General features: G+C 55.5%; 2 annotated features.

Moving 5' to 3' along the window:
- Window positions 6,156–6,215: an enhancer, noted in NCBI's record as "active region_13676". NCBI's record gives its function as "activates an Ori minimal core promoter by ATAC-STARR-seq in GM12878 lymphoblastoid cells {active_cell/tissue: GM12878}" and the evidence as "EXISTENCE:reporter gene assay evidence [ECO:0000049][PMID:35858748]".
- Window positions 6,406–6,495: an enhancer, noted in NCBI's record as "active region_13677". NCBI's record gives its function as "activates an Ori minimal core promoter by ATAC-STARR-seq in GM12878 lymphoblastoid cells {active_cell/tissue: GM12878}" and the evidence as "EXISTENCE:reporter gene assay evidence [ECO:0000049][PMID:35858748]".

Consider the following 11,632-nt stretch of genomic DNA (forward strand, 5'->3'; position numbering starts at 1 on the left):
CCAGACTGTCGCGTTGGCTGGAGGCCCAGAAACCGCATCCCTGGGAGGCTGCAGGCCAGGCCCCCCACAGGATGCTGTGGGGGGCGGGTATGGTTCAATTCCTGGCCCCAGAGAGGTCCAGAAGGACTTCATGACACCCCATGCTCTCCCCACCAAATGGCCCTGGGCTGCTGTGCTGTGTGACCCCAGTAGGGGAGGTCTCCTTCTCTCTCTGAACGTGTTTCTTTCTCTGTAAAGTGATGCTCCTGATAGCTGGCTCTCAGGGCTCTTGGAGGAAGGTGTTCATTGAGCACCTACTGTATACCAGGCCAAGGGCTGGAGGGAGGAGGAGGAGACGCTTCCAGCCTCAAGGGGGATTTCTTCGGACAGAGGGAGCAGATGCCTGAAATATGAAATCGTCACAAAGCGGCGTGGAAGAGGCAGTAGTGACACCGGGTCCCGGACCGAAGCCAGGGGCCAGGGAGGCTTCCCGGAGGAGGAGACACTTGCTATGAGTCCTGGAGGGTGAGGGATGCCAGCTGGGGTCCAGTCGAGGCCCTGCCTGTGTAACCGTGGGGGATGTCCCTCTAGCCTCGGTCTCCACCTCTGCAAAATGGAGATCGGAACAGTTCCCATCTTCTCCCGGGGCTGCAGAGACTCTGCAGTGGTTCTGCCCGGTTTGTGGCCAGTGCTCCCGAGCCCTTGGGGGTGGAGATTGGGCCAGGCTCCTACTGCAGGGCCTGAGCACGGGCTGCTCCCTCTGCCTAGAACGCCCTTCCCCCAGACCTCTGCCCGCCCCTTTCCCCCTCTTCACTCGCGTCTCCACCCCGACCTTCCATCTCTCCCTGCGTGGCACATGCCTGCTAAGATGTCCAGTAATTTGCTGATGGGTCCAGTGCAAGCTCTACCCTCTCTTCTTTTTTTTTTTTTTTTTTGAGATGGAGTCTCACCCTGTCGGTTGCCCAGGCTGGAGTGCAGTGGCGCGATCTCGGCTCACTGCAAGCCCCACCGCCCGGGTTCACGCCATTCTCCTGACTCAGCCTCCCGAGTAGCTGGGACCACAGGCACCCGCCACCAGGCCCGGCTAATTTTTTTTTGTATTTTTAGTAGAGACAGGGTTTCACCATGTTAGCCAGGATGGTGTCAATCTCCTGACCTCATGATCGGCCCGCCTCAGCCTCCCAAAGTGCTGGGATTACAGGCGTGAGCCACCGAGCCCGGCCCCAGCCTTTTTTAAGACAGGGTTTCGCTCTGTCACCCAGGCTGGAGTGCAGTGGCGCAGTCATAGCTCACTGCAGCCTTGAACCCCCTGGGCTCAAGTGATCCTCCTACCCCAGCCTCCCGAGAAGCTGGGACTGCAAGTGAGTGGCAACACACCTGGCTAATTTTTTTATTTTTTGTAGAGATGGGGTCTCACTAAGTTGCCCAGGCTGGTCTTGAACTCCTGGCCTAATGTGATCTTCTCTTCTTGGCCTCCCCAAGTGCTAGTATTACGGGTGTGAGCCACTGTGCCCAGCCCAGTCTTGTAATATTATGTGTCCATTTACTCCTCCCCAAAATGATGAGGGATTAGTTTTTATTATTATTTTTTAAGAGACAGGGTCTCATTCTGTCACCCAGGCTGGAGTGCAGTGGTGTGATCATGGCTCACTGCAGCCTGGAACTCCTGGGCTGAAGTGGTCCTCCTGCCTCAGCCTCCCAAGTAGCTGGGACTACAGGCATGTGCCACCACACCTGGCTTTTTTAAATTAGCTTTTTTTATATCTTGTGAGACAGAGTTTCACTCTGTTTGCCCAGGCTGGAGTGCAGCGGTGCAAATCTTGGCTCACTGCAACCTCCACCTCCTGGGTTCAAGCAATTCTCCTGCCTCAGCCTCCCGAGTAGCTGAGACTACAGGCGCATGCCACCAGGCTCATTAAATTTTTGTATTTTTAGTAGAGATGGGGTTTCTCCATGTTGGCCAGGCTGGACTAGAACTCCTGACCTCAAGTGATCCGCTCACCTCGGCCCCCCAATGTGCTGGGATTACAGGCATGAGCCACTGAGCCTGGGTCAGATTAACTTTTTTTTTTTTTTTTTTTTTTTGAGACGGAGTCTCACTCTATCGCCCAGGCTGGAGTGCAGTGGCGCGATCTCAGCTCACTGCAAGCTCCGCCTCCCGGGTTCACGCCATTCTCCTGCCTCAGCCTTCCAAGTAGCTGGGACCACAGGCGCCTGCCACCACGCCCAGCTAATTTTTTTGTATTTTTAGTAGAGACGGGGTTTCGCCATGTTAGCCAGGATGGTCTCAATCTCCTGACCTCGTGATCTGCCCGCCTTGGCTTCCCAAAGTGCTGGGATCACCGGCGTGAGCCACGGTGCCCGGCCCCCAGATTAACTTTTAATTAACAGGGTCTTGCTATTTTGCCCAGGCTGGAGTGCAGTGGTGCAATCATAGCTCACTGCAGTCCTGAACTGGCCTCAAGTGATCCTCCCATCTCAGCCTCCCAAAGTGCTGGGATTACATGTGTGAGCCACTGTGCCTGGCCTGGATTCATTATTATTCCCACTTTACAGATGAGAATTTGGGGACTCAGAGAGGTTAGGTCACTAGCCTCAGGTCACACAGCATCTGCCTGCTGAAGCTGGGGCTTGACCTCAGGCATCTGGAGCCCAAGGCTTCCAGGACTCTACACGTTTGCCTCTTAGCAGCCAAGGACTCTTTCCCCAGTTACAGAGGGTGGCCACTTGTCTGGGGCCACACGGGAGGCTCCCAGGCCACCTGCCCCCGCAGCCTCCCTCCCTGGGACATGACTGCCACTCCCGCCCGCATCTGGTCCCGTCCCTCACGCTGGAGAGAGCGAGCGAGAGGAGGAGGGCTTTTAATTTTAGAAATGGTTCCTGCTGCAGAAGAGTTCCTGCTGGTTTTCCCAGGCAGGAGAGCACAGGACAGGAGACCCCTCGGCCCCACCACGGCCGTCCCCAGAAGGATGCCCCCCTCTGCGGGCTGCTGCCTCCCTGCCCCCCAGCCTCTCCCACGGCTTCCCCATCTGGAGCCGCCCTCTCCGCCCAGGTGGTAAGTCTCCATGGCAACGTCCCATCACAGGTGGTCGTAACCTTAGCAACCAGGTGCTCCCACCCCACCGCCTGGGAGGCTCAAAGCCGCGCCTGCATCCCCCTCCCACGCTCTCCCTGCCCCCGCCCCCCGGGCAGCTCTCCAAGAGGAACCGAGGGAGATGCATCCTGCCAGGGATGCTGGGCCCAGAGACTTGAGGGACACCCCAAGATCACCCAGCAGCTGAGCTGCTGGGCCTGGGGTGCTCCACGGGACATCAAACCCACCTCCCTCGTCCTGCAGGATGCAAAAGAAACTGCACTTCTCGACATCGCCTGGGCTCCTACTAGGTGCTGCGTCCATGCCAGGCTCAGGCGCCGTCCCTGCCCTCAGGAGGCTTCCACTCAGGACAAGGGGTGGGGAGACACTGACCGAGGACAGGAAGGGGACAATGGCCGGGCGTAGTGGCTCGTGCCTGGAATCCCAGCACTTTGGGAGGGAGAGGCAGGAGGATCGCTTGAGCTCAGGAGTCTGGGCAACATAGCGAGACCCTCATCTCTTTAAAAAAAAAATTATCTGGACATGGTGTTGCATGCCTGTAGCCCCAGCTACTCAGGAGGCTGAGGTGGGAGGATCGCTTGAGGCTAGGAGGAGGAGATTGCAGTGAGCCAGGATCTCACCACTGCATTCCATTCTGGGCGACTGAGCAAGACCCTGTCTCAAAAAATATATATGCATATTGGCCAAGTGCGCTGGCTCACACCAGTAATCCCAGCACTTTGGGAGGCCAAGGCAGGTGGATCGGTTGACGTCAAGAGTTTGAGACCAGCTTGGCCAACACGATGAAAATACAAAAATTAGCTGTCCCCACAAATAAGTGACCCCCAGAGTAAGTTCTAGGTTTAGAATGAAATTTATCCATCTACTATTAAAAAAAAATTCTCTCAGCCAGGCGCAGTGGCCGAGAAAAAAAAAAAACACAACTCTCCTCTGATTTACATGGAAATTAATCACCCACATCAGATTCTGAAGGAAACTCTTGCTTATATTACTTTTTTTTTTTTTTGAGGCAGAGTCTCACTCTGTCGCCCAGGCTGGAGTGCAGTGGCGCGATCTCGGCTCATTGCAACCCCCGCCTCCTGGGTTCAAGCAATTCTCCTGCCTCAGCCTCCTGAGTAGCTAGGATTACAGGTGTGCACCAACACGCCCAGCTAATTTTTGTATTTTTAGTAGAGACGGGGTTTCACCATGTTGGCCAGGATGGTATCGAACTCCTGACGTCGTGATCTACCCTCCTCAGCCTTCCAAAGTGCTGAGATTACAGGCGTGAGCCACAGCGCCTGGCTTAACCTTTTATTATGGAAAATTTTATACACAAACAAAGGCTTAGAGAATCACGTAATGAACCCCCATAAAGCCATCCCCAAAGTGTGATGCATCTGGTTCCATAAGTCCCTCTCCACCCTCCCCAACAGACTATATCAAAGCAAATCCCAGACACGAAGTAATTTCATCCATAAATATTTGCATTTCTAAAATACAATGACTTAAAAAACACAGCCAACAATTCCATTATCATTTTTTAAGAAAATGGACAGTAATTCCTTAATATGCTCAAATATCCAGGCAGTGTCCAGTTTCCCTGACTGCCTTCTAAAATTTTTTCACACTTTGTTCAGCTCAGAATCCAAATAAGGTCCATTTACTGCAATTGGTTGATATGCCTGTCTCTTTCTCTCTCTCTCTCTCTCTCTCTCTTTTTTTTTTCCAGAGACAGGGTCTCGCTTTGTCACCCAGGCTGGAATGCAGTGGTGCAGTCATAGCTCACTGTAGCCTTCAACTCCCAGGCTCAGGTGACCCCCACCCCCGTCTCAGCCTCCTGAGTAGCCAGGACCACAGGTGCATGCCAGCATGCCCATTAATTTTTTCTTTTTTTGGTAGAAACAGGGTCTTGCCATGTTGCCCCGGCTGGTTTTGAACTCCTGGGTTTAAGTGATCCTCCTGCCTCAGCTTCCCAAAGTGCTGGGATTACAGGCATGAGCTGCTGAACCACTGTGCCTGGCCTTAGTTCTTCCTTTCTGCTGTTTGTCTTATATGTCATTTTCCTGTCTTATTGCACCGTGTGGCACCTCCAGTACAATGTTGAAAAGAACCAGTGGAACTGGACATCTTTCTTTTGTTTCTGGCCTTAGGGGGAGAGCACCCAGTCCTTCGCCATTGAGGATGACAGCTGTAGGGTTTTTATAGACATCTTTTATCTGGTTGAGGATATGCCATTCTATTCCTAGTTGCGTGTTTTTAATCTGCATGAATGCTGAATTTTGTCCAAGTGAGTGCTGAATTTTCTGCATCTACTGAGATGATCATATGGTTTTCCTCTCTTATGCTAATGTGGTTAATCACATTGATTCTTGGGTATTAAACCAACCTTGCATTCCTGGGATAAACCCCACTTGGTGGTCATGATGGAGAATCCCTTTTATAGACAGCTGGATTCAATTTGTTAATATTAAGGATTTGTGCATCGATATTCATGAGGGATATTGGCCTTTGATTTTCAGTAATGTGTTTTGGTTACGCTGGCCTCATAAAACACATTGGGAAGTGTTCCTTCCTCCTCTAGTTTCTGAAAGAGTTTGGGTAGGATTGGTGCTGTTTGTTCCTTAAAAGCTTCAGGATCAATTCTGTTGTTTTCCAGAGAAGGGGGTCTCTCTATGTTGCCCAGGCTGGCCTTGAACTCTTGGGCTCAAGCCATCCTCCTGCCTCGGCCTCCCAAAGCACTGGGATTTCAGGCGTGAGCCACCGTGCCTGGCCTGGGAACAATTCTGAAGGTAGAATTGTCAGCATTTGCTGATGGCTGGGATGTGGGAGGCAAGAGAAACAGCAGGGAAGGGCACCCGAGGGTGTAAGCCTGAATCATGGAGCTGTTTCCTTGGATGCAGAAAGCTGGAGCGGCACCTGGTGGAAGGAGCATTGGTTTGGGGTGTGCATTAATTTTGGGGCGCCTCTGGTGCTGGGGCAGAGATGAGGTCAGGGAAATGGAAGTCAGAAGCATTTTCAACAATGAAAGCGGAACCCACGGGCATCTCTGTCTCTGACTTCGTGCCCATTACCCCCAGCTTCCTGTTCCCTTACTGCTTCTGGTCTGTGTTCACTGGCCGGCGTGCAGAACTCTGTCTTCTGTCGGGCACTGGAACCCTAGCGGCCTCGGGCCCGTCATTCCTGGGTGAATCCTGACCCCTGCTGGCTCTGGTCAGCACGGTCGAGGCCAGCGTGGCCACGCAGTGGCGGTGGGGGGCGGGGGTCCACGGAGCTGAGTCCTGAAGGGAGGTAGAGAGTGTGAGACACTGGAGGCAGAAGGGCCCGGAGTTCATAGACAGACCTAGGCCTGCCCGGAAAGCCCCTGTCTAATGGGCAAGGCGGAGGAGCCCGGACTTATTCCTGTGGACAATGGGGGCTTTGGGGAGGCGCAGAGTGGGAGGGACCTGGTGAGATCCCAGGAGCTTGAGCCCTAGCCGTGGAGCTGGGACCCCCAGGACTGTCCTTTTTATTTTAAGACAGGGTCTCGCTCTGTCACCCAAGCTGCAGTGAGGTGGCGGAATCATAGATCACTGCAGCCTTGGCCTCCTAGGCTCAAGAGATCCTCCCACCTCCTCCTCCCTAAGTGCTGGGATTACAAGTGTGAGCCACAGTGCCTGGCCCCAGGGGTGTGCTAACCTCTCTCACCCTGGGCGGTCCCCAGGCTCAAACCAACAATTCCTGAACCCTAGGAGCTCTCCTCGTGGGCACAGCTTCTTCTGTTTACAAACCTTCTTCCCTTCATATCCATGTCCTTGTCTGGGTCCAGGCAGGAAATCGACACCCAGAAACAGGCGGTGATGGGCAGCAGGGGCCTCTGTGGCAGAAGGTCTCACGCTACACGGTACTGTCCGGGTCCTTGCACGGGTGTTCTGGAGGTGCAGGGAGGCCTCCCCTCGGTCGTTCAAGGCAGGAATGGATCTGCGGCGTGAGGCCGACGGTGACTTGCTTTCTCCCAGCTCCTGGGGCCACAGTGCGTTCATTCCCCTCCCCTCCCCTCCACTCCCCTCCCCTCCCTTCCCCTCTCCTCCACTCTCCTTTCCTCTCCTTTCCTTTCCTTCTTTTTTTGAGATGGAGTCTCACTCTGTCACCCAGGCTGGAGTGCAATGGCGTGATCTCAGCTCCTTGCAACCTCCATCTCCTGGGTTCAAGGGATTCTTCCGCCTCAGCCTCCTGAGTAGCTGGGATTACAGGCACCCGCTGCCACGCCCAGCTAATTTTTGTACTTTTAGTAGAGATGGGGTTTCGCTATGTTGGCCAGGCTGCTCTCCAACTCCTTACCTCAAGTGATCCGCCCGCCTCGGCCTCCCAAAGTGTTGGGATTACAGGCGTGAGCCACCGCACCCGGTCTCATTCCCTTTTCTCTTTGCCTCTTTTAGGCACTGGGACTTCATTTCTATGCCCACAAGATGCGGGTGGCTGGGAGCCCCATTGGCTTGGGGCAGAGGAAAGGCACGGTGGGGTAGATGGAGCGGCAGGCAGCCTACCTCCTACGCTAGGATTCTGGCTGTGTTACCCTGTGCAAGCTGCTTAACCTCTCTGGGCCTCAGCTGCCTCATCTGTGAACGGGAATGACAAAAGGACCCGCCTGAGGTCCTCCTTTGGGGGAGGGTTCCGTGAACCAGAGCTACCTTGGAGAAGGCAGTGGGGTCAGTGTCTGGGGCAGACGCCCCAGACTGACTATCAGTAACATCCAGCTCCCGTCCTCCTTCGGAACCTGCAGTGGGGTGGTACCCTGAGGATCTCTGGCTGGTCTGGGGGCAAGAAGGGCCCATCTGTCTTATCTACCAGGGCCTCCGCCAATGTCTCCCAGAGTGGGGCCTCCGAGGACAAGACTCGAGGGCTCTCGGCCAGCACTTGACCGCGGGCACAGGCAGCAAAGCTGGTTCCCGGGCCAACGGCCACGGCCCCGACATCGTGATCCGAGGGCTGCGCTGACCATGGGCAGGGAGTTGAAAGGGTGAGGTCTGGGCCAGGGGCAGGGGGCAGCCTGCAGTTGGCACGGCGGGCTGGCTGGCGGGACCTGCTGGGGCTGGGGCTTTATACGGGGCCAGGAGAGTGGAGGCCTGGGGGATCCAGTGTCTCGGGCCGGGCCGGCCGCCGTGTCCTCATTTCTCTCTCGGTTCCCTCTCTACGTCTCCGCCTCTGTTTCTGCCTCTCCCTATCTCTCTCCAAATCTCTCTGTGCCTTCTGGCTGTAACTGGGTTTTTCTTCTCTGACTCTTTGTAAAATATTAAATTTTCAATGTAATGTGGAATGTAAAATATTAAATTTCTCCTTTTAAAATATTAAAAGCAGGCCAGGTGCAGTGGTGCGCACCTGTCATCCCAGCACTTTGGGAAGCCAAGGTGGGAGGATTTCTTGAGCCCAGGAGGTCAAGGCTGCAGTGAGCTGTGCTCACACCACAGCACTCTGGCCTGGGCCACAGAGTGAGACCTTGTCTCTTAAAAATAAATACATAGATAAAATTAAAAGTGGCTTTGTAGTTGGCTGGAGGTCCTGGACTCCTCCAGCGTATCCTCTAGTGATGGGCAGCTGGGTTACTTCCAGTCTTTTCCGAGCAGGTCAGAGTGGCTCTCTGGGGTGGAAATGGTTGAGAGGAACAGGCTCATTCTGGTCTATTCTCTGGGGACTTCTGTCTGCCTCCCCAGGAAGTTGACCTCTCCCTCTCCCGGTCTGCACAGCCTTCTGTTTTTGTCTGTGGGCCTCATTTCAAAGCTTCGTGCCCTGGGCTGGGCATGGTGGCTCATGCCTGTAATCCCAGCACTTTGGGAGGCTGAGGCAGGAGGATCACCTGAGGTCAGGAGCTCGAGATCAGCCTGGCCAACATGGTGAAACCCCATTTCTACTAAAAATACATAGCCAGGCATGGTGGCGGGCACCTGTAATCCCAGCTACTTAGGAGGCTGAGGTGAGAGAATCACTTGAACCCAGGAGGCGGAGGTTGCAGTGAGCTGAGATCGTGCCACTACACTCCAGCCTGGGCAATAAAGTCAGACTCCATTGCAAAAAAAAAAAAAAAAAAAAAAAAAGCTTCGTGCTCTGAACTCTGTCCCCACATGACTGTGGCCGAGGGCCCAGCCACAGAGTGGATACTCAACACCTTTTTCAACACTTCAGAGAGAAGGAATTGGATTTCAGAGAGGTTGGGACACCTTCCCTAAGCCACACAGCATGTGGTGGGGGGAGCCTTGGGCTCAGGGCTTTGTGGCTGCAGAGGGCTTTGCAAAGTTCATCAGCTCACTAGGAGGTGACGGAGTGGGCAGAGAGCAGTCTACAGTGTGGGGGGCTGTTCTGAGGGGTGCAGCGGTGAGGCAGGCCTTGCTTCCTCTGCGGGAGAAACCGTGGGGCTGGAAAACGGGACTTCCTTCCTCTCCTGCCTCCCTGCCGTTCCTGGAGGTTCTAACGAGGCCAGTTAGCCTCTAAGGCCTTGACACGTTCTCCCACTGGGGGTTGAGGCCTCTGGGCCACTGGGACCCTGGGTTTCAGCCTTTGCATCTGGCTCAGACAGGGCAGGCAGGTGTGCCGCGTGGACAGCGTGTTGGTTTCCAGGCCGGTCAGCTCTGGTGTCAGGGTTGTGTTTCTCCATCACGTGACATCCTGATCCCCCACCTGTCAAATGGACGCAGGGAACTGGTCCCGGACAGCGAGGCTTGTAGGCTTGTGGGTTGAACGTCAGCAGTCCGGGCACACCTGAACTCTGTCTGTCCTTCGCTGGAGGCTGTGACCCCGCAGCTATCCCAGCAAACCCCCGCCATCCCCGGTGCGAGGCTGGAGGCTGGGGCTTGGGATGAGGTCTCGGCCGGTGGTGGCAGGGCTGGGCTAGGTGGCCGGGGCCGGGGAGGGATGAACAGCGGATGCAGGGGTTGGCCACGAGGTCCGATAACTAATTCCCCAGCCACAGGGGCTAGTGCCGCTGGGCCCCAGCAAAGCCAGTGTCTATGGGGCCCAGATACCCCTGCCGAGAAGCCAGCTGGTTCCACTTATTCGGAGGCAGCCAGGGAGCGTGAGCCCATCCAGACCCGAGGCTGAGCTCCGTCCTGTTCTGCTGCTATAGCTTCCTGGCAACCTGGACCACACGCTGCCTCGGTTTCCCGAGCTGGGGATGAAGGGGTTAGCGGCCAGGATGACCCTCTCACGCTCAGGTCATAAGGGACAGCCTATCCTCTCTCAACCCGAGTGATGAATCAGACAGGCCCTGCCCTCCTCTGGGAAGACAGTGCCTGGGGGACAGAGGTGCAACCAGGAAACGGAGTCCAGGAGGATTGCCCGGCTGTCGGGAAGAGACATTTAGGGGTATGCAGGATGGGCTGGCCCGCTGGAGTGTGGGAAGTCCTAGTGCAGGTGTGGGAGGCCGGTGCCAGGGCCTGTATCTGCCCAGTCAGGACACGTTTTTAACATTTTTTGTAGGCCAGGTGTGGTGGCTCATGCCTGTAATCCCAGCAATTGGGGAGGGTGAGGAGGGTGATCACTCGAGGTCAGGAGTTCAAAACCAGCCTGGCCAACATGGTGAAACCCCATCTCTACTAAAAATACAAAAATTAGGCCGGGCGCGGTGGCTCACGCCTGTAATCCCAGCACATGGGGAGGTTGAGGCGGGTGGATTACCTTAGGTCAGGAGTTCGAAACCAGCCTGGCCAACATGGCAAAACCTCATCTCTACTAATACAGAAATTAGCTGGGCATGGTGGCGGGTGCCTGTAATCCCAGCTACTTGGGAGGCTGAGGCAGGAGAATCACTTGAACCAGGAAGGCGGAGTTTGCAGTGAGCCGAGATCACGCCACTGCACTCCAGTCTGAGTGAGAGTGAGGACTGTCTCAAAGGAAAAAATATATATATTTTTTGTAGAGACGAGGTCTCCCTATTTTCCCAGGCTGGTCTTGAACTCCGGGGCTCAAAGAGATCCTCCTACTTCACCCTCCCAAAGTGCTGGGATTCCAGGCGAGAGCCACTGCACCCGACCTCAGGACATGCTGTGAGCACGGAAGGAACCCAGAAGGGGCTGGCTGTAGGTGACCAGTCCATCTCACAAGCGGGGGCAGCAGCGGGGGCAGGTGTTAGCTGCATGGGCTGTGGGGTCTGGCCTCTTGATGCACCCCGGCTCCTGATGCACCCCAGCCTCCTGATGCACCCCGGCTCCTGATTCACCCCAGGTCCTGACACACCCAGCTCCTGACACACCCAGCCTCCTAATGCACCCCAGCCTCCTAATGCACCCCGGCTCCTGACGCACCCCGGCCTCCTGATGCACCCCGGCCTCCTGATATACCCCAGCCTCCTGATGCATCCCGGCTCCTGATGCACCCCAGCTCCTGCTGTCTTGGGGGCGGGCCTGGGGTTCCACAAGCCCCTCATCAGACTGAGGTTCCAAACTCGCCTGTCTCGGCCTTGGCTGTGCCCGCCTTGGTCACTCCTGAACCCTCACCCCCAGGAGGGACCATGGCTGGTATTTGATGAGCTCCAGGGACTGAGTCCAATCTCCAGGAATCCAGGTTTCCTCAGAAGGTCAAGGGAAAAGCAAGATTCGGGGCTCAGACACA

This window comes from Homo sapiens, chromosome 19 (assembly GCF_000001405.40).
Source record: "Homo sapiens chromosome 19, GRCh38.p14 Primary Assembly".
Lineage (NCBI taxonomy): Eukaryota > Metazoa > Chordata > Mammalia > Primates > Hominidae > Homo > Homo sapiens.